This window comes from Homo sapiens, chromosome 8 (genome assembly GCF_000001405.40).
Source record: "Homo sapiens chromosome 8, GRCh38.p14 Primary Assembly".
Lineage (NCBI taxonomy): Eukaryota > Metazoa > Chordata > Mammalia > Primates > Hominidae > Homo > Homo sapiens.
The window spans coordinates 143,769,068-143,788,403 of record NC_000008.11 but is presented as its reverse complement, the minus strand read 5'-3'; the positions used below and the strand labels follow the sequence as shown (position 1 = coordinate 143,788,403).

Sequence of the window (19,336 nt, the reverse complement as noted above, 5' to 3'; positions counted from 1 at the left end):
GTGGGTGCAGAGAGCCGGGCTCAAAGCCCAGCTGCGCCGGGTGAGTCCCTGACTTCCTGTGCCTGGCCCTCCTTGTCTGTGGAGCAGGGGTGATGCTTGGAGGGGGTCACAGTGAGGAGGAAGGAAGAGCAGGAGCTCAGAGCAGGTCCACATGCGCCTGGTGGCGGGCCAGTCCCGGCATCACGCTTGACCAGGAAGCTGTTCGTGGGTGGCTCCGTGTGTGAATGCCACTTGCCCCTTCCTGCTCTGGGAAGCAGGGGTGACCAGGGCCTGTTGTCTAGTGTGGCCAGCTCCCTAATAGCTGGATGACAGCGGAAGGAGGCAAGGCGGTAGCTGAGAAGGGCCGGGTGGGGCAGGGAGACTCTCATACTCGGAATTAGGCCTGCGAAACAGTCGGGGCCCGAGGAGCTGCTGGCTGGAGAGCAGAGGCCTGGGAGAAGAAGAGCAGGTGGCTGAAGGTGGGTGCCACAACCAAGAGCAGACCGAGAAGGTGTGGCAGGCCTGGCGACGGGGCCAGGTGGAGGTGGACAGGCACGGGCCATGGAGCAAGCAGAAGGCACTGCGTTAGGGGTGCGCGGGTGAGCGGCCGCATTCCCACAGAGCAAGGGGTTTGTGGCGTGGGAAGGATGAAGACAGGATGAGGGGAAGGAGGTGGGGTGCGCGGGTGAGCCGCCGGCGTTCCCACAGAGCAAGGGGTTCGTGGCATGGGAAGGATGAAGACAGGATGAGGGGAAAGAGCGGGGGCAGGATGAGTTCCCTGTAGCTCTTCCAGGAGACTGGCCACAGACAAGTGCAAACAGGGAGACTGAATGTGGGCAGAACTGGGAAGAACTCACAGATGCACGGGAGGGAGGGAGACACAGCAGACGAGAGGGAGAGAAGCAGTGGCGCGGCGTGGCCTTGGGTAACTGCCATCCTGGCTGAGTCGGTGCTGACTTAAGCATTTGTCTACAGATGCAGGGGGCAGAGATGGAAAGAAGGGGCAGTGTAGGGGGCCTGCAGGTCTGTGGGGGGCCAGGGACATGCAGACACGTGGTAAACTCACCTCCACGGCCACCTGATGGATCCACAGGCTAACCACGGCCTGAGGACTGCCCTGTGCTATCTGCTTCCCAGCAGCTAGGACCAAAAGTTCAAAGCCCACCAGGGCCAAAATCAAAATTTTACACAGACATTTGCTTTAAATAGAGCCCAAATATGCATACTTCTAGACATTTAGACCGACCCTGCTTGCTTTGAATACCCTGCAAAACTGAACCCACGTCTGCCAGTGGTGGATGAGACAAACCCTGGGGCTACAAAAGCCTTCAGGCTGGGCTGCCCTCTGGAGCTCCCTGGTGCCCCATCCTGCTTCTGAGCAGTTTCCCCTAGGCGTCAAGCCCTCCGTGAAAACCTGTCCAAGTGCCACCAGAATAAAGCTCACTGCGTGCTACCGCCCTCTCCTGGTCCTGTATTCCTCGATCAGCCCCCAAATCCTCCAGCCTCTGTGCCTCATTCCCTGGCAGCCACAGGGGCTCCTTCCTTGTCCCCCTCAGGATCTTACACTGGCCAGTCCTCCTGTCTGGAAGCTCCTCAGGCGTTCACAGCCCTCATTCCCTCCCCTCCAAGTTCTCCCTTGTATGCCACCTTCTCAGCAAACCCCACCTTGGCCACCTTTCTTAAAATTCCAGCCCAGCCCTGCCCGCCCTGGTAGCCTGGCATCTCCACTGCACTGTGAGTTGTGACAGAAGGGACTTTGTTTTGTTCAAGGATGGGTCCTAAGGACCTAGAACAGCTCCCAGCTCAGGTCTTCTGTCAGTTGGTCCAGTGGCTGGGCTAATCATGAACGGATGAGCTAATTCGTACATTAGCATATACCTGATTGTTTGGACAGATAAATGGGTAAACACATAGGAGAGATGACTATATAGATGTATTCATTTATGCACATTCTTCTGCACATTTATCAATGATTCTGTCTATATTTGTAAATATAAATTTGCAAATATAAACGTGGGTGGGTGAGTGAAGGAATTTATGAATATGCAAATTTGATCCTCACTTTGGGGTCCTAAGGACAGTAGCCTCCGAGTGAGGTTGACTTCAGCTTAGCTTCAAATCATCTTAATCTCTGAAGTTGGTGAAGTGACTCCAGACCGCTGGTACCCCCAATACATGGCAAAACCTAAATCCTCAGTGAAAAAAGAGTGAAAAATACCTTTCTAGGCTTCAAATGATTCCTACCAGTAAAACGTATGACATGGCCAGGCAAGGTGGCTCATGCCTGTAATCCCAGCACTTTGGGAGGCTGAGGCATGCAGATTGCTCGAGCCCAGAAGTTGAAGACCAGCCTGGGCAACATGGCAAAATCCTGTCTCTACAAACAAATAAAAAAAATTAGGCCAGGCACGGTGGCTGACGCCTGTGATCTCAGCACTTTGGAAGGCTGAGGCAGGCAGATCACAAGGTCAGGAGTTGGAGACCAGCCTGGCCAACGTGGTGAAACCCCGTCTCTACTAAAAATACAAAAATTAGCCAGGTGTGGTGGTGCGTGCCTGTAATCCCAGCTACTTGGGAGGCTGAGGCAGGAGAATTGCTTGAATCTGGGAGGTGGAGGTTGCAGTGAGCTGAGATCGTGCCACTGCATTCCAGCCTGGGTGACAGAGCAAGATTCCATCTCAGAGAAAAAAAAAAAAAAATAGCTGGGCATGGTGGCTCAAGCCTGTAGTCTTAGCTACTTGGGAAGCTGGGGCAGGAGGATCATTTGAACCCAGGGGGTCAAGGCTGCAGTTAACTGTGATCACACCACTGCACTCCAGCCTGGGTGACAGAGCAAGACCCTGTCTCAAAGAAAATAAAAAATAAAAAAGGCTGGGTCTGGTAGCTCACGCCTATAATCTCAGCACTTTGGGAAGCTGAGATGGGCAAATTACTTGAGGTCAGGAGTTCAAGACCAGCCTAGCCAACATGGCAAAACCCCATCTCTACTGAAAATACAAAAATGAGCTGATGTGGTGCTGCACACTGGTAGTCCCAGCTACTCGGGAGGCTGAGGCATGAGAATCGCTTGAACCTGGGAGGCAGAGGTTGCAGTGAGCTGAGATCATGCCACTGCACTCTAGCCTGGGTGACAGAGGAAGACTCTGTCTCAAAAAAAAAAAAAAAAAAAAAGATACAGAACAAAGGCACAGGAAAATACAAGGCAATATAAACAAAAATCTGCAGAAACTACAAATGATAGAAATAGCTCCACAAGGGATCAGGATATTAGAGTTAGCTACAGATTTTCAAATAACTATATTTACTGTGCTCAAAGAGAGACTAGATTGATTTTAGCAGAGAGCTGGAACCAAATAAAATTTTAGACATGAAAATTAAAATAACCAAAATTAAGGACAAAGTGCATGGATTTAATAACTAGCTAGATGCAGCTGAAGAGAGAATTAGTAAACTGAAAGACATGTCACAAGAAAATATCCAGAATAAACTCAAAACAAAAGGATGGAAAATACAGAAAAGAGGGTAAAAAAACTGTGGTAAGTTACTAGTGCTGATCATCAAACATGTCCGTCCTTCCACCTTCTAGACATAGTATAGGATTACACTTCCTGACCAATTTGTGGTTTTGGTGGAGCCAAATGACTAGATCTGACCAATGAGCTATAAGTAGAAGTGTTTGTGCTAGACCCTCCTCAGCTCTTTCCCTCTGGTATACTGACCAGCAATATTCAAGATGGTGGTTGCTCTGTCAGCCTGGGTCCCTAACAGACTACAGTTAGCAGAAGCCCCCTGTTAACCCTCAATGGACATGTAGCATAAGTAAAAAATAAACTCATTTTGTTTTATACCATTGAGATTTGGAGACTGCATGTTCCACAGCACATCTGTATTAGTCCATTCTCACATGGCTAAAAAGAACTACCTGAGACTGGGTAATTTATAAAGAAAAGAGGTTTAATTGACTCATGGTTCTGCAGGCTGTACAGGAAGTATGGCTAGGGATACCTCAGGAAACTTACAATCATGACAGAAGGCCAAGGGGAAGCAGGCACATTTTACATGGCTAGAGAAGGAGGAAGAGAGAGCAGGGGGAGGTGCTACATACTTCTAAACAACCAGATCTCATGAGAACTCACTATTGTGAGAAGACCATGGGGAAATCAGCCCCCGTGATCCAATCACCTCCCCCCAGGCCCCTCCTGCAACACTGAGGATTACAATTTGACATGAGATTTGGGTGGGGACATAGATCCAAAACATAGCAACATCCTAGTCTATCCTGGTTGATACAGAAATGTAGAGGCTATGGTGAGATCTACCATCTGTATATTTGGAGAGTGAGAATAAGGGCAGAAACAGAGGTAATGACTGAGAACTTTCCAAAACCCAAGCATGAAGAAAAACAAGGTGGGAAGACTTGCTTTTATCTGGTACAAGACTTGTTATAAAGCTGCTGTAGTCAAGACATGGGTATTGACACAGGATAGATCAATAGACCTATGGAACAGAACAGCGATCCCAGAACAGAGCTATAAGTATATAGACACTTGACTTAGGGCACAGTTGATGGTGTAGAGTGAGGAGGGCAGTCTTTCACAAAGACTGTGGGTGCTCTCAGGACAACTGTGCATCCATATGAGAAATAAACAAGCTTGAACATGACCTTGCACAAGGAGGACCAAAACAACGCACAGAAGTCTATTCTAGTGGATGATGGCTCTAAATGTGAAAGATGTAGAAGACTGCACCAGAAAATATCTTTATGTCCTTGGGAGGATGGAGAGACTTCTAAACTGACATAAAAGGCACCAACCATAAAGGAAAAGAATGATAAAATTTACTACAGTAAAACAAAATTTTCCATCAAATTATAACATTAAGTGAGTGAAAAGGCAAGTAAGACAGAAGACACCTATAATACATGTAATTGATAAGGAGTTTGATCTAGAATATATAAATAAGGTCCACAGAGCAATAAGGAAAATAAATCAGGCAACCCAGAGAAAAGTGGTCACTAATGCTAACAGGTACTACTTTTAAAAAGATAGCTAAGGGGCTAATATGCCTAAGAGTTCTCAACTTCATTAGTTGGCAGGGAAATGCAAGGTAAAACTGCAGTGAGGCACCACGGCACATCCACCATGAGTCTGCATTAAAAAACACTGGCAATCACAATGTCTGGGAGAGCATGGGGCAGTGGGACTATAACATATTGTCAGTGGGAGTGGATAAACTGGTACAACCATTTTGGAAAACTGTGCACATATGTACCAAGAGACACATACAAGAATGTTCATAGCAGCATCATTATAACCAAAGCCTGGAAACAAACTGAACGTTCATCAGCAGTAAAATGGTAAATATATTGCAGACATTTATATAATTAAAGTCTCCATAACAATGAAAGTAAATGAACTTTAGCTACAGGCAACAAGACTGAATCTCACGAATATAGCCTGTGATAGAAGAAGCCAGATACCAAAGAACAGCTGCCATATAAATTCATTTACATAAAGCTCAAACACAGTGAAACAAAGCTATATTATTTAGGCACTCATGTTTAGGAATGAATGGATGAATGAGTAAGTGGATGACAAAGTGAATGAATAAAGGAGGGATGATTTAATGATGGAATAAAGAAAAGCAAGAGGCCAGGCACGGTGGCTCATATCTGTAATCCCAGCTCTTCGGGAGACCGAGGTGGGCAGATGCCTGAGGTCAGGAGTTTGAGACCAGCCTGTCCAACATGAAGAAACCCTGTCTCTACTAATACAAAATTAGCTGGGCATGGTGGCACGTGCCTGTAATCCCAGCTACTCAGGAGGCCGAGGCAGGAGAACTGCTTGAACCTGGGAGGCGGAGGTTGCAGTGAGCCAAGATTGTGCCGTTGCACTCCAGAGCCTGGGCAACAAGAGCGAAACTCTGTCTCAAAAAAAAAGAAAAAGAAAAAAAGAAAAGCAAGAAAGTAAGCACTGACAAGCCCACAGCCAACATTATACTGAATGGGCAAAAGCTGGAAGCATTCCCCTTGAAAACTGGCACAAGACAAGGATGCTCTCTCCCATCACTCCTATTCAACATAGTATTGGAAGTCCTAGCCAGAGCAATCAGGCAAGAGAAAGAAAAGGCATCCAGATAGAATGAGAGGAAGTCAAACTGTTTCTGTTTGCAGACAACATGATTCTATATCCAGAAAACCCCATAGTCTTAGCCCAAAAGCTCCTTCAGCTGCTAAACAACTTCAGAAAAGTTTCAGGATACAAAATAAATGTACAAAAATCACTAGCATCCCTATACACCAGCAACAGCCAAGCCGAATGCCAAATCAGAAAGGCAATCCCATTCACAATTGCCACAAAAAGAATAAAATACCTAGGAATACAGCTAACCAGGGAGGTGAAAGATCTCTACAATGAGAATTATAAAACACTTCTCAAAGAAATCAGAAAAGGCACAAACAGAAAAACATCCCATGCTCACGGATAGGAAGAATCAATACCATTAAAATGGCCATATTGCCCAAAGCAATTTACAGATTCGACGCTATTCCTATCAAACTATTATACCAAGCATTTTATTCACAGAACTAGAAAATACTATTTTAAAATTCATATGGAACCAAAAAGCCCAAATAGCCAAGGCAATCCTAAGCAAAAAGAACAAAGCTGCAGGCATTGTGTTACCCGGCTTCAAACTATACTACAGGGTTACAGTAACCAAAACAGTATGGTACTACACAAGCACATAGACCAATGGAACAGAATAGAGAGCCCAGAAACAAGGTTGCATACCTACAACCACCTGATCTTCAACAAAGCTGACAAAAACAAGCAATGGGGAAAAGACTCCATATTCAATAAACCGTGCTGGAATAACTGGCTAGCCATATGCAGAAGATTGAAGATGGACCCCTTCCTTACACCATACATAAAAATCAACTCAAGATGGATTAAAGACTTAAATGTAAAACTCAAAACTATAAAAACCCTGGAAGACAACATAGGCAATACCATCCTGGACATAAGAACGGGCAAAAATTTCATGACAAAGACACCAAAAGCAATCAAAACAAAAGCAAAAATTGACAAGTAGGATCTAATTAAACATGAGAGCTTCTGCATAGCAAAAGAAACTATCAGCAAAGTAAACAGACCACCTACAGAATGGGAGAGCATATCTGCAAACTATGCATCTGACAGAAGTCTAACATCCAGCATTTATAAGGATCTTATACAAACTTACAAGAGAAAACCCCATTAAAAAGTGAACAAAGAAAATGAACAGACACTTTTCAAAATAAGACATGCATGTGGCCAGCAAGCATATGAAAAAAAGCTCAATATCACTGATCATCAGAGAAATGCAAATCAAAACCACAATGAGGATACACCATCTCATACCAGCCAGAATGGCTACTATAAAAAGTCAAAAAATAACAGATGCTGGTGAGGTTGTGGAGAAAAGGGAACACACACACACTGTTGGTGGGAGTATAAATTAGTTCAGCCACTGTGGAAAGCAGTATGGGAATTCCTCAAAGACCTAAAAGCAGAACTACCATTGGACCCAGCAATCCCATTACTGGGTATATACCCAGAGGAATATAAAGCAGTGTACCATAAAGACACATGCACGCATATGTTGACTGCAGCACTATTCACAATAGCAAAGACATGGACTCAACCTAAATGCCCATCAGTGACAGACAAGATAAAGAAAATGTGGTACATGCACACCGTGGAATACTATGCAGCCATAAAAAAAGAATGAGATCATGTCCTTTGCAGGAACATGGATGGAGCTGGAGGCCATTATCCTCAGCAAACTATCGCAGGAACAGAAAACCAAACACCACATGTTCTCACCTGTAAACGGGAGCTAAAGGATGAGAACTTAGGAACACAAAGAAGGAAACAACAGATACTAGGATCTACTTGAGGGTGGAGGGTGGGAGGAGGGAGGGGAGCAGAAAACTATTGGGTACTGGGCTTAGTTCCTGGTGAGGAAATAATCTGTACGACAAATCCCCATGACTATGTCACCTGCATAACAAACCTTCACATGTACCCCCAAACCTAAAAGAAAAGTTAAAAAAAGATGACTTAACATCTCTGTGCTTAAGTTTCTTTGTATATAATAAAGTCTTTGTATATAATGTAGGAATATTAATAATACTACAATCAGGTTTGTTGAGAGGATTAAACTGGGAACTTTATACATATTTCAGGAAAGTTTTGTAACTTGAAAAAAAGAAGGAAGCAAGCACTATAAAATTCAGGATATGATGATCTGGGGAGAGGTGTGGTGTTCTGGCGATACTTTATTTCTTGAGTCAGGTAGTTACTACATGAGTATTTCCTTTGTGGTAAATAATTGAGCCACAACTTTGATTTCTGCAATATTCTGTATGTCATTTGTAATTAAAAAGGAAAGTCTGAAGATGTATAAAATCAAGGAGTAGCTAAAATGAGAGAAGGGATGAATGGATAACTAGATAAATAGGATGGAAGAGTGAACAGACATACGAATGAGGCAATGATTTTGTAACTTAAAAGAAATTGTGATACTCATTTAAAATAATAATAGCTACCATTTCTTGAGAACTGACTTTGCACCAGGAATTGTGCCAAGGAATTTCATTCACTATCTCATGAATCTTCAAAAAGCTGTTATTAGTCCCATTTCTGAATATATGGAAACAGATTCAAATAAGCTTCAGAACTTGCCAAAGTTCTGTCTGTAAGTGGAAGAACTGGAGTAGACGGAAAATGAATGAAGACAGAAAATAAAAGGATAATATAACGAGTAAACTTACGAGTGTCTTAATGAATAGGCAATAAATGATGAATGAATGAGTAAATTAATGAATTAAACTATAAGAGAATGAAGATTAGATTAATTGAATGAACTGATTAAATGATGAACTGATACATGAAAAATTAATAGATGAATGAGTGTAAAGAATGGATACGTGAGATAAGCAAATGGTTAGTTGAGCAACTGGATGGATGAATTGATGGATGAATTCATCGTTCAACAAAATGTTTCAGTGCCTATCGTGGTCAACCAATACTGGGGCATACGATTAAGGGGTGAACGAGACACAGTCCTTCTTTGCTTTCTCATAATTTTCTGTCAAGTAAACAGCATGAATGCGTGTATGAATGGATGAATGGATGTCTGAATGAATAGTAGATAAAAAATAAGTGAATAATTATTTAAACATGGTGTAAGGGTGGAATGGGCACATTAATGAGTGGATAGCTTATAAGTTTATAAATTTATATATGTTTATAAGTTCATAAATTTATATATAAGCTTATAAATTTATTTATAAGTTTATAAATAAATGACTCATGGCTGGGCATGGTGGCTCACACCTGTAATCCCAGCACTTTGGGAGGCCGAGGCAGGCAGCCCACCTGAGGTCAGGAGTTCGAAACCAGCTGGCCAACATGGCAAAACCCCATCTCTACTTAACATACAAAAGAACAAATTAGCTGGGCGTGGTGGCGCATGCCTGTAGTCCCAGCTACTCTGGAGGCTGAGGCAGGAGAACCGCATAAACCCGGGAGGCAGAGGTTGCAGTGAGATTGCGCCACTGCCCTCCAGCCTGGGTGACAGAGCAAGACTCCATCTCTAAATAAATAAATAAATGACTCAAGTTAATAAGATAATTATGAATTGGCGAAAGCGCAAACCAATACTGGGGCGAGATGGATGAAGTGGGTGAATGTATGGAAACGATGACTGATGAATGATGAAGGGATGGTGATGGACAGCGTGGTTCAGCTCTTCGGTATCATCGCTGATATTCCGTCTACTTGTCTCATCAATTATGGGGAGAGAGAGATGGCAAAATCGCCTATTACCATTGTGGATCTCTTTATTTCTCCTTGTAGTTCTCATAGTTTTTGCTTCATGCATTTTGAAACCCTGTTAGTAGCTGCATGAACATTTAGGATTTTTATGTCCTCATGATGAATTCCTACATTTGTCATTACTAAATGATTCTTTTATCCTTAGTAACATACTTTTTTCTGAAATCTACTTGATGTTAATACAGTTACTTCAGCATCCTGTTTAGTGTTATCTTGGCATATTTGTTTTTATCATTTTAATTTTCAACTATTTGTGCTTTTACATTTAAAGCTTGTTTCTTATAGGTAGAACATAGTTAGCTACAATTTTTAATCCAAAATGACAATCCATCTTTTTTTTTTTTGTTTTGAGACGGAGTCTTACTCTGTCACCCAGGCTGGAGTGCAGTGGTGCGATCTTGGCTCACTGCAAGCTCCGCCTCCTGGGTTCACGCCATTCTCCTGCCTCAGCCTCCCAAGTAGCTGGGACTACAGGCGCCCGCTACGATGCCCGGCTAATTTTTTTGTATTTTTAGTAGAGACGGGGTTTCACCATGTTAGCCAGGATGGTCTCGATCTTCTGACCTCGTGATCCGCCCGCCTCGGCCTTCCAAAGTGCTGGGATTACAGGCGTGAGCCACCGCGCCCGGCAACAATCCATCTTTTAATTGGGGTGTTTAGAATGTCCATGTGTAATGAGATTATTTATATGGTGGAGTTAAAATCTACCATTTGCTGTTTGTTTCCCACTGGTCCCAGTGGTTCTTTTCCTTTTCCTCTTTTCCTGACTTCTTTGGCAATATTTTTTAAGAATTCCATTTTATCTCTTTTGTTGGCTTATTAGCTCCAACTCTTTTGATATTGTAGTAGTTGCTTTAGGCTTTAGAGTATACAGCTCTAAATTGTCACAATCTACTTTTTAATGATATTAAACCACTGCACATATAAGAACCTTAAGACAATACACTTCCATTTACCCCTCCCAGCCTTTCCGGTATATTTTGGGATTTTTTTTTAGTGGTTTGTTTTTTTTTTTTTTTTTTTAAGACGGAGTCTTGTTCTGTCGCCCAGGCTGGAGTGCAGTGGCATGATCTCAGCTCAGCTCACTGCAGCCTCCGCCTCCCGGGTTCAAGCAATTCTCCTGCCTCAGCCCCCTGAGCAGCTGGGATTACAGGCGCCTGCCACCATGCCCAGCAAATTTTTGTATTTTTAGTAGAGACAGGGTTTCACCATGTTAGCCAGCCTGGTCTCAAACTCCTGACCTCAGGTGATCTACGCACCTCAGCTTCCCAAAGTGCTGGGATTACAGGTGTAAGCCACTGTGGCCAGCCAATTATTATCTCATATATATGTGTATATATGTATATATGATAATGTATGTGCATATATATGTATATATACGATAATATATATGTGTGTGTATATATATGTGTGTGTCTTATATAGGGTCTTGCTCTGTCGCCCAGGCTGGAGGACAGTGGCACAATCACGTCTCACTTCAGCCTCCATCTCCTGGGTTCAAGTGATCCTTCCCCTTCAGCATCCCAAGTAGTTGGGACCACAGGCACATGCCACCATGCCTGGTTCAAATTAATTTTTTTTTTAATTCTAGGAATAATGATCCCTCACCACTGAGCCAAGCTCCTTCTGAGAACTCCACCCAATACCCTATGAATCATGAGATTTTTCACCCTGGCTGACGGGAGTAGGCACTGCTTCCTTCACGCTTCTCAGAAGCCCGTTTCCCCAGCCTTGAGCCGTTTCCCCATGTATAGGAGCCATTAAATATTCAACTGCCTTATTAGCTACAACTAACTACCACGAGGGATCCAACTGAATGACCAAAGGGGATCGTGTCCATGTCTCTAGGGTTCTTTCTTTCTTCAGCTGTCTCCCCTCTGGCACTTGTGATCTCCTGCTGCCTCAGTATCCTTGAATTCTGAATTCTTGTCTCCTTAACTCAGAGAATATGCCTGGCTCTGTCTACGTTCCCCCTTCCTATACTACACCCTGAAAATTCTCTCAAGGTGGTAAACTGGGACAAGCTTAGGGCTCACTTTGCTTATTTTCAGCCTCTTGGAGATCTCTTTCTGATTTGTTGCCTGATGTCCAATGTCTTGGAAACCTTTGTTTCCTATATTCTGTCTTGGATTTGTTCTTGTTTGAAGTGAGAGGATAAATCAGACGTTTTTGCTCAATTTTTTTCTTTTTTCTTTTTCTTTTTTTTTTTTTTTTTTGAGACGGAGTCTCGCTCTGTCGCCCAGGCCGGACTGCGGACTGCAGTGGCGCCATCTCAGCTCACTGCAAGCTCTGCCTCTTGGGTTCACGCCATTCTCCTGCCTCAGCCTCCCGAGTAGCTGGGACTACAGGCGCCCGCCACCACGCCCGGCTAATTTGTTGTATTTTTAGTGGAGACGGGGTTTCACCGTGTTAGCCAGGATGGGCTTGATCTCCTGACCCCGTAATCTGCCCGCCTCGGCCTCCCAAAGTGCTGGGATTACAGGCGTGAGCCGCCGCGCCCGGCCGCTGGGATTACAGGCGTGAGCCACCGCGCCCGGCCCTCCTCAATTTTTTTCAACCTTCTCTTTCTCTTTGTTTCATTTTGGAGAGTTTCTATTGCTATATCTTCAGATTAACTAATTTTCTTCAGTGTCTAATCTGCATCTTCCATTAATCCCATCCAGTGTATCAATGTACTTTTCATCTCAGACATTGCAGTTTTCATCTCTAGTTTAGGAATGGTGTGTGTGTGTGTGTGTGTGTGTGTGTGTGTGTGTAATACAGCTATAGTTTTTTTGTTTTTGAGGCGGAATCTCACTCTGTTGCCCAGGCTGAAGCCCAGTGGCGCGATCTCAGCTCACTGCAACTTCTGCCTCCTGAGTTCAAGCACTTCTCCTCTCTCAGCCTCCTAAGTAGCTGGGATTAGAGGTGCCCACCACCACGCCCAGCAGCTAATTTTTGTATTTTTAGTAGAGATGGGGTTTCACCATGTTGGCCAGGCTGGTCTCAAACTCCTGACCTTGTGATCTGCCCGCCTCGGCCTCCCACAGTGCTGGGATGACAGGTGTGAGCCACCCCGCCCGGCCTCAGCTATAATAACTTTTAATGTTCTTGTCTACTAATTCCATCTCCTGTGTCATCCCTGAGTCTGTTTTCATTGATTTTTCTCTTCACTCTGGGTCATTTTTCGTGTGTGTGTGTGTGTGTGTCTGTGTGTGTGTGTGTGTGTAGCATGCCTGGCAATTTAACTAAATTTTTATTTTGAATTTTTATTTTGATTTACATGAAGTTACAAAAATAGTAGAGTTCCCATATACCCTTAACAAGCTCCCCCAATGATGACTTCTTACATAATTACGGTACAACATACAAACTAGGATACTGACATAGTACAATCTACAGGGCTCACAGTGGATTTCAACTATTTCACATCTACTCGTGTGTGTGTGTGTATCATTACAATTTTCTCACATGTGCAGTTTTGCGTTACGACCATCGTAATCAAGATACAAGACTGTCTCATCACCTCAAGGGTCTCTTGTGCTACTCCTGCCCAGTCGGCCCCATCTCTCCCCGCTTTTCCTGCCCCCACTCCCATCCGTAACCCCTGCAGCCCTCCGATCTGTCCTCCGTCTCCACAGTGTTGTCATGTGAGTGTGTGTGACCTTCTCCCCCACTCTGTGAAGCTCCCTTCCGGTTTCTCCACGTTGCTAGTTGTTGCATGGATCATGTGTGCACACCGTTTTATTGCCAAGCGTGTTTCGTGGCAGGAATGCACCAAGCTAGTGGAGCCACTCGCCTGCTGGAGGACATCTGAGTCGTTTCCACTTTTTGGCTATTGTAAATAAAGCTGCTGTGAACATCTGTGTACACATTTTTGTGTGGACCTAGTTTTCCTTTTACTGGAGCAAATGTCTAGGAGTCTGATGCTGTGTTACATGGTAAATGTGTTCACTTTTTAAGAAACCGCCTGCCTATTTGCAAGAGCGGCTGTACTGGTGCTGCGTCCCCCCAGCAAGGTGTGGCAGGGCCAGCTTCCCCACATCCCTGCCCTCGTTCGGCTCCAGCTCTAGTTTGACCTGGGCTGTCCTGGGAGGTGTGAGGTGGTGTGCAACACCTCCTCGGGTGTTCATCTGCCATCATTAGATCCTCTTTGGTGAAATTTCTCTTCATGTCTTTGCTCATTTTATACCTAGATTGTATGTTTCATTGTTGTTTGCGATGTGAGTTTTTTCTATGTTCTAGGTACACGTGCCTTGCCAGATGCGTGGTTCACAAACGTTTGCTCCTGCCTGTGGCTTCTTTTCTTCTTGACAGGTCTTTTACAAAGCAAACATTTTACATTCTGATGAAGTTCTGTTTATCAATGTGGTTTTTTTTTTTTTTTGGATTGTGCTTTTTGTGTCATGTCCAAGAATCCCTCCAAGTCCTAGGCCCCAAAGATTTTTCTCCTATGTGTTCTAAAAGTTTTGTAATTTTACCCTTTACATTTAAATCTATAATCCACTTTGAGTTCATTTTTTATAGGTGTGTGCTTCAGGTCCACACTAACCCCTTTGCCTGTGGATGGCCAATGCTCCAGCACCATGGAGTGAACACACAGTCCCCTGGCACCCAAGGGCTCCCCCAGCACCCCCAGCTGCTGCCCTTCTCAGCTCTCCGGGCCACCATGCCCCAGGCAGCAGGTCTGCTGGACACCCCAGCACCCCTGACTCCCACTTGCACCTCTGGACGCCTCACCGTATCCTCAGCCCCTCCCTAAGCCCACCGCCTCGGCCCTGCCCCTCCCCTCCAGCCCAGGAAGAAGGACCCTTTGCAGACAAGGAGAAAGAAGAGAGGGGCAGGACAGGCTCCCAGGCAGCACCTACAGGAGGAGAGTCTGGGGGTGGGTCCCTAGCTGGGCAAAGACTCTGGCAGCAGTCCAGTGGATGCATCTCCCAGGTGTCTGCCGTGGGCCAGAGGCAGAACCCAGACTCCAGGCAGCACCTCCAGATTTGTGTGGGATGTGGGGTGAGGTTAGGGGTGGGGTGGGGGAACATAATGACTGAGATGGGAGAGGGACTGGGGTTCAAATTAAGTTGATTTAAATGAAACTAAGGTAGGCGAGGTTCGTGGTCTGGTTTTCCAGCCACTGCTCCAACAGGCGGAGTCAGCCTCACCCCACCCCACTCCTGGGCCTGGGACAAGTCCAGGCATTGTGTCTCCAGCCTGGCCCAGGGCAGACTCTGTTTTTTTTGTGTTTTTTTTGTTTTTTTTTTTTTTTTGAGTCTCACTCTGTTGCCCAGGCTGGAGTGCAGTGGCGCCATCTTGGCTCGCTGCAACCTCTGCCTCCCAGGTTCAAACGATTCTCCTGCCTCAGCCTCCCAAGTAGCTGGGACTACAGGCGTGCGCCACGACGCCCAGCTAATTTTTGTATCTTCAGTAGAGATGGTGTTTCACCATGTTGGCCAGGATGGTCTCAAACTCCTGAGCTCAAGTGATCCACCCGCCTCAGTCTCCCAAAAGTGCTGAGATTACAGGTGTGAGCCATCACGCCCGGCCAGACAGCCAGACTGTCCTTTCTAACATAGCTCAAAGGCTCTAGAAAGGAGCTCTGTGGCTGGGCTGTGTGGCTCAAGTTCTCTGGAAAACCGACGTACTGACAGTGAGGGGACCGATGGGTGGGCCCCGTGCTGCCCCCAGCGCCGTGAGCTCTGCCAACCCTGGAATCGCCAGCCTCAGTTTCTCCATCAGTAACACCACTTCCTCAGGCAAAGCACGGAAGGAAATGACACAAAACCCGACACCAAAGGCATTCACAAAATGGGAGTCGCTGCCACTTCCACTGCAGACTGACGAGGTTTTAAAGTCAGGACTTCCAGGAAGGGAATGGCGCACGGCGGGGCTAGGAAACCGCTCTAGCAGGCCACTCAGGCTTCTGACAGCTTTCAGAGACAGCCGGTCGGGTGAGCCTTCCCTGCCTGGGTGTGCACCTGCCAGACTCACACCTCCCGGTACCCACACCTCCCGGGGCTCACACCTCCCGAGGCCCACACCTCCCGGGGCTCACACCTCCCGGGGCCCACACCTCTGGGGTCCACACCCGCTCAGGGGTGCTCCCGTCCTCTGCGTACACCCGGGGGTCTGCTCCGAGCTTCAGGAGCACCTCCACAGCTGCCAGGTGGCCCCCAAAGGCTGCACGGTACAGCGGCGTCGGACCGAAAGCGCCCTGCAAGACGGGCCCCCCGAGCAAGATCCAGGCCTTGCCCCTGGGGGAAGGAGGCCCCTGAGGGCCCTGGACCGCGCCCCTCAGCGCGGCGGCCCGCGGCCCACGGCGCCCACCTTGCTGTTGGGGCTGGCGCCGAGCTCGGCCCGCAGCTGGATGGCCAGGGGCTGCCCGCCTGCGGCCGCCTCCGACAGCGGCGTGTTCCCGTAGCTGTCCTCGCACTCCGCCAGAGCCACGCGTCGCTGCAGCCGCCGCGCCTCGCCTGCCTCGTCGTGGCCCACGCCCTCGCGCGTCAGCAGCTGCTCCACCTGCGCAGCTCGCCGCGGTCACCGCTCCCCGCTCCTCCCACTCCCACCCCACCCCCCGCCCTCGTCCTCCTCCCGCCCCCGCTGACCTCCTTCAGCACCGCCCGGATCTCGCCCACGTCCCCGTCGAAGGCGGCGTCCAGCAGGCGGCGGCGACGCTGCAGCTCCTCCCGCCGCTCCCGCTGCGCCGCCTCCTCCTGCTCGCGCAGCCGCCGCGCGGCCTCCTGCTCCCGGCGCACCGGAGCCAGGTAGGCCTGGGAGGCGCCCGCCGAAGTCACCGCCCACTCCGCGCCACCGCCCCGAGCCCCGAGGCCACGGTCCACGCCTCTGAGGTCGGAGCCCGATCTGAGCCTCACCCCCACCACGCACCCTGCTTCGCCATTTCCTCCCCCTGCCTCCTGCCTGGCCCCCGGCTGTTGCGGCTGCCCGTCCTCACCTCCTTCTGCGGCGTCTCCATCTGCTCCAGGTACTCCCGGCGCTCCTCCCGGCGGCGGGCGAGCTCCCTCCTGGCCCGGAGCTGCCGGAAGGCGCCCTGGATCGCTCTGGCCGCTCGGTCCTCGGCCGGCCCTGGGGTGGGGAGAGGCTCACGGGGGCGCGTTCTCGCCTCCAGCCACGCCTGCTGCGCCCCTGGGAGTGGAGCCGGCCCCGCCCCCGCCCCCGCCCCGACAGAAGGACCCAAACGGCTCTCAAAGCCCCCAGCGCGGCCGAGCCGGGGTTCCCGCCCGCAGAGGCCGCACGAGGAGGCTGCGCGAGAGCCCGGGACGCGGAGAGGACCCAGGTCTGCGGGAACCTCCCCCGCCCCACGCCGCCGGGGATCCTGCGAGCCCCGCCGAGCCCGCAGCTCGGGAGCCCCGAGGAACGGTGAGGAAGGGGTGCTGTCCCCCGCGGGACACCCTTCCCTGAAAGCCGAAGGCCCCTCCTGCATCCAGGCCCCAGCGAGCGAAGGCTGGACTGAGCGGGGGGGCCCCAGGCCTGGGAGGGCTCATCACAGCCCCGCTGGACTCAGAAGAGGGCGCGGAGCCCAGGGCCCCAGAGGGAGCTCTGTCCTCTCCGGCTCGGCCTCGCCCTCGCCCCACCGCGGCTGCAACGGAGCGCTGAGCCCGAGCCTGGAGCCGCCTCGCAGTGAGGAGGGGGCGGAGGAGAGGGCGTCGGGCTCAGCGCTGCCCTGACTGGCCTGGGGAAGTCCGGGCACCACTCAGCCTCCCCGGCCTGAGCCCCTTGCTCTAACGTGGAACGATACCTGCAGCTTTCTAAGAGTCCAGCAATGGGGCGCTTGTGGCGCTTCCGCCACAGTGAACGCTCAGCGTGCGCCCCGTGGGTGTGACTTGTGCCAGGGCACGGGTGGCCAGGCGAGGCTGTCGGGCCACGCGGGTACCCAGCAGGGAGCCACGGGAGCGCAGGCCAGAAGCAAGCAGGCAGCGCAGCTGGGTCTCCACAGGTGCGCCCGCTGGGGAGCCAAGTACTATGATTCCCACAACCAAGCTCCCAGGGAGCATGGGCAGAATGGCGGGATGAGGCGAGACTGGGAGACGCGGAAGACCCTGCAGGCCCAGGGCACGGACCGGAGCAGCCAGCGGGGGCAGGGTGGAGAGCTGAGCCCATGTGGGAAAATCACAGCGAAGGAGAATAAAGGGAGAGGCGCCGTCAGGAGGGCGGGACCCCGAGTGGCAGTGGACAGAGATAATACAGTCATAAGAATAACGTGCGTCTAGGATGCAGAGACTGACAATGCAAGCAAAGAGCAAACACTCAAGATAAAACCCAGGAAATCCTGAAATGAATCTTAAGACAAAAGGGGGAAAAATCCCAGAAAACAAAGGGCATGAACAACAGGCATCAGACACAATTCGCTGAAGTTAAGCCTCAAAACAAAATGTTTTTCAAGCACCCGAGGAGAAAGAGCAAAGCACCTATGACAGGAAAGTCCGGCTCTCCTGAGGCTTTTTTCTTTTTGAGACAGGGTCTCACTCTGTCACCCAGGATGCAGCACAGTGGCACAATCTCTGCTCACTGCTGCTTCCACTTCCCCGGTTCCGGCAATCCTCCCACCTCAGCCTCCGAGTAGCTGGGACCACAGGCACACGCCTGTGCACCACGGCCACCTCCGAAGGCTTTTTACAGAAACACTAAATGTTAGAAGAAAATGAAGCAGTGTCCACAAAATTCTGCAGGGAAAACAGTAGGCCAGGAAGAGTATTTGGTTCTGCAGCACAGATGGCAGGGCAGGAGGTGCAGCCTTCCCAGTGACAGCAAGAGAGAAGACAGACGAAATCAAAGTGTTTTTTAAACAAGTGTCTGACGGCATTCAAAGCTACTGAGGAAATGAAGAACGAGGTCTCCAAAACAGTGCAGCAGGGTGGTCCCAACACCAGGCAGGTGGGCCTGGCCTGGCCCAGAGCAAAGGGTCAGCTGCTCAGCAGAGGACGGGCCAAGGGACAGACCTGCATTTAGAGCACTGGGTATGGCTTGGGTTTAGGGTTGCCAGATTTAGCTAATAAACAGGATGCAATTTGGGGGACATACACTAAGTAAATTATTCCTGTTTATCTGAAATTCAAATTTAGGCCAAGCGCAGTGGCCTTGTAATCCCAGCACATTGGGAGGCTGAGATGGGAGGATTGCTTGAGCCCAGGAGTTTGAGGCCAGCCTGGACAACGTGGTGAGACCCTGTCTCTCTTTAAAAAAATATATATAGGGCCAAGTGCAATGGCTCACATCTGTAATCCCAACACTTTGGGAGGCTAAGGTGGGAGGACCACTTGAGCCCAGAAGTTCAAGACCAGCCTGGGCCACGTAGGGAGACCCCTGTCTCTACAAATAACTAAAAATTAGCTGGGTGCAGTGGCGTGCATCTGTAGTCCCGGTTACTCAGGAGGCTGAGATGGGAAGATGGCTTGAGCCCAGGTCAATGCTGCAGTGAGCCATGATCATGCCACTGCACTCCAGCCTGGACAACAGAGCGAGACCCTGTCTCAGTAAAATATATA

The 19,336-nt window shown here is 48.8% G+C and overlaps 1 protein-coding gene across 2 annotated transcripts in view, besides 1 other annotated feature; it reads right to left on the bottom strand.

Annotated features, from left to right (window-relative positions):
- Nucleotides 1-19,336, bottom strand: part of IQANK1 (IQ motif and ankyrin repeat containing 1) — a 56,507-nt gene that overhangs the window by 2,242 nt on the left and 34,929 nt on the right. Inside the window, exons 4-7 of one of the 2 annotated variants that reach the window (NM_001381874.1) lie at nt 16,786-16,916; nt 16,439-16,603; nt 16,161-16,352; nt 15,922-16,047 (exon numbers count right to left, since the gene is read on the bottom strand). In NM_001381874.1, coding sequence (NP_001368803.1) covers nt 15,922-16,047; nt 16,161-16,352; nt 16,439-16,603; nt 16,786-16,916 — 614 coding nt within the window. Of the gene's footprint in view, nt 1-15,921; nt 16,048-16,160; nt 16,353-16,438; nt 16,604-16,785; nt 17,275-19,336 lie in introns of those variants that run through there. The other variant, XM_017014127.2, reaches the window with a different exon arrangement.
- Nucleotides 17,620-18,293: an enhancer, noted in NCBI's record as "H3K27ac-H3K4me1 hESC enhancer chr8:144852281-144852954 (GRCh37/hg19 assembly coordinates)". NCBI's record gives its function as "activates a minimal SCP1, AML or CMV promoter by ChIP-STARR-seq in naive H9 embryonic stem cells {active_cell/tissue: H9 hESC(naive)}" and the evidence as "EXISTENCE:reporter gene assay evidence [ECO:0000049][PMID:30033119]".